Source organism: Homo sapiens, chromosome 2 (assembly GCF_000001405.40).
Source record: "Homo sapiens chromosome 2, GRCh38.p14 Primary Assembly".
Classification (NCBI taxonomy): domain Eukaryota; kingdom Metazoa; phylum Chordata; class Mammalia; order Primates; family Hominidae; genus Homo; species Homo sapiens.
In genome coordinates, this window is record NC_000002.12 from 16,508,030 (window position 1) to 16,509,441 (window position 1,412).

Here is a 1,412-nt window from a genome sequence, read left to right on the forward strand (position 1 = left end):
AAGGGTGAAAGCCAGAGGAACCTGGGTTAGCAAGTGACACGAAGGGACTTTCCAGGATCCCCCCACCGCGAGGCCTGGCACGAAGGAGGGCTCACAGTCCGGCTCCCAGAGCCCTGCAAGTCGGGCGCGCTCAGCCCACCTGCTCCCTGCATTGGTGGTGGCGGGCGGCCCGCACTCCCCGCGCCCCAGGCCCGCCCGCTCCCGCCCGGCTCGGCGCTCCCTCGGCTGAGCAGCTAGGCTCTGCATTGCAGGGGTCCCACCGGGCCGCAGGGTAGCCTCGCCCCCGCCGCTCCTTCCTTTGTCCCTGCCCCGCCGCTGCGGCGTCTGCGGCTTCTGCGGCCGCCTGGGAGCGGGCATGGGTGGGCGGGGCCCGTGGCGGCGCTGCCCGGTGCACCAGCACCATCTAGGGGCGCTACGACAGCAGGAAGGGCGCTCCGCTGGCATCCGTGGGTCGCCGCCTGGCCCTGGGCAAATTTTCCCAAACTCCGGCCTCGGTTTCCCGGGTTACCGTGGAGGCGACAAGCGGGTCCACTCCTATCAGGTGTCCTCACTGGTACAGTCGTAATCCCTTAATGAAGGGGATTGATCGTCTCCACAGCCGCTAATAGGCAAGGAGGGAAACTGAGGCTCTGAGGGGTTAAGTAACTTGTCCCAGGGGATATAGTTCTGGGGACAGAACCAAGAATCAAAACCAGGTGCATTTGAGCTCCTAATCTGTGCGTGGAACCCCTTGGCTGTGCGGCGTGGAAGAGGGCAGTTTCTCCTGATATGCCACATGCAGTGGGACAGCTTGTCCTGCTCCTTGTCCTCTGCTAGCTACTTTCTGTATGATCAAGTCATGTGACCGCTTTGAAACTCAGCTGTGTCACTCACTTTACCTTAGGGATCATCCCAAGGCCTTCCTTCTTCCCGGCTCTCAGGGAGGCAGGTCTCAACCATGAAAAGGTTTCAGAGGATGGGAGCCACAGTGAGAATCAAGAGGGAAGGGCCTCTGAAGACAGAGCTAGCTCCATAAACCTGTCCAATTATCACCCTTACAAGCGCAGAGCTCCAGAACCCCCAGGCAGAGGCAAATTTCCCTTAGACCCCGGCTTTGAGGCTTGCAGCCCATGTTATTATCTCCATTTTACAGCTGAGAAAATTGAGGCACAAAGAGACTTGGGCACTTTCTCAGAGTTGCAGTCCTGGGTGAAATGTGCTCAGGGCTCCCTCTCCTGGGCTGGGGGGCTCCCTCAGGAGATCCCGGATGGTCTGAAGCACAAGGTTTACTGAGCCCCAGTGGAGGGTGCAGCCCTGAAGAAGAAAGTGGGAGGGTTTGGTCTGGAAAAGAGAAGACCTTGAGAAACTCAAAGGCTATCTCTAAATCACAGGGGCCTAACACATGAATGAGTAGGCAGAAGTACAGGGCAAAG

General features: G+C 59.1%; 1 annotated feature.

Annotated features, from left to right (window-relative positions):
- Nucleotides 212-506: a silencer, noted in NCBI's record as "tiled region #232; HepG2 Repressive DNase unmatched - State 4:PromP, and K562 Repressive non-DNase unmatched - State 20:ReprD". NCBI's record gives its function as "represses a minimal TATA promoter and a strong SV40 promoter by Sharpr-MPRA in HepG2 and K562 cells {active_cell/tissue: HepG2 | K562}" and the evidence as "EXISTENCE:reporter gene assay evidence [ECO:0000049][PMID:27701403]".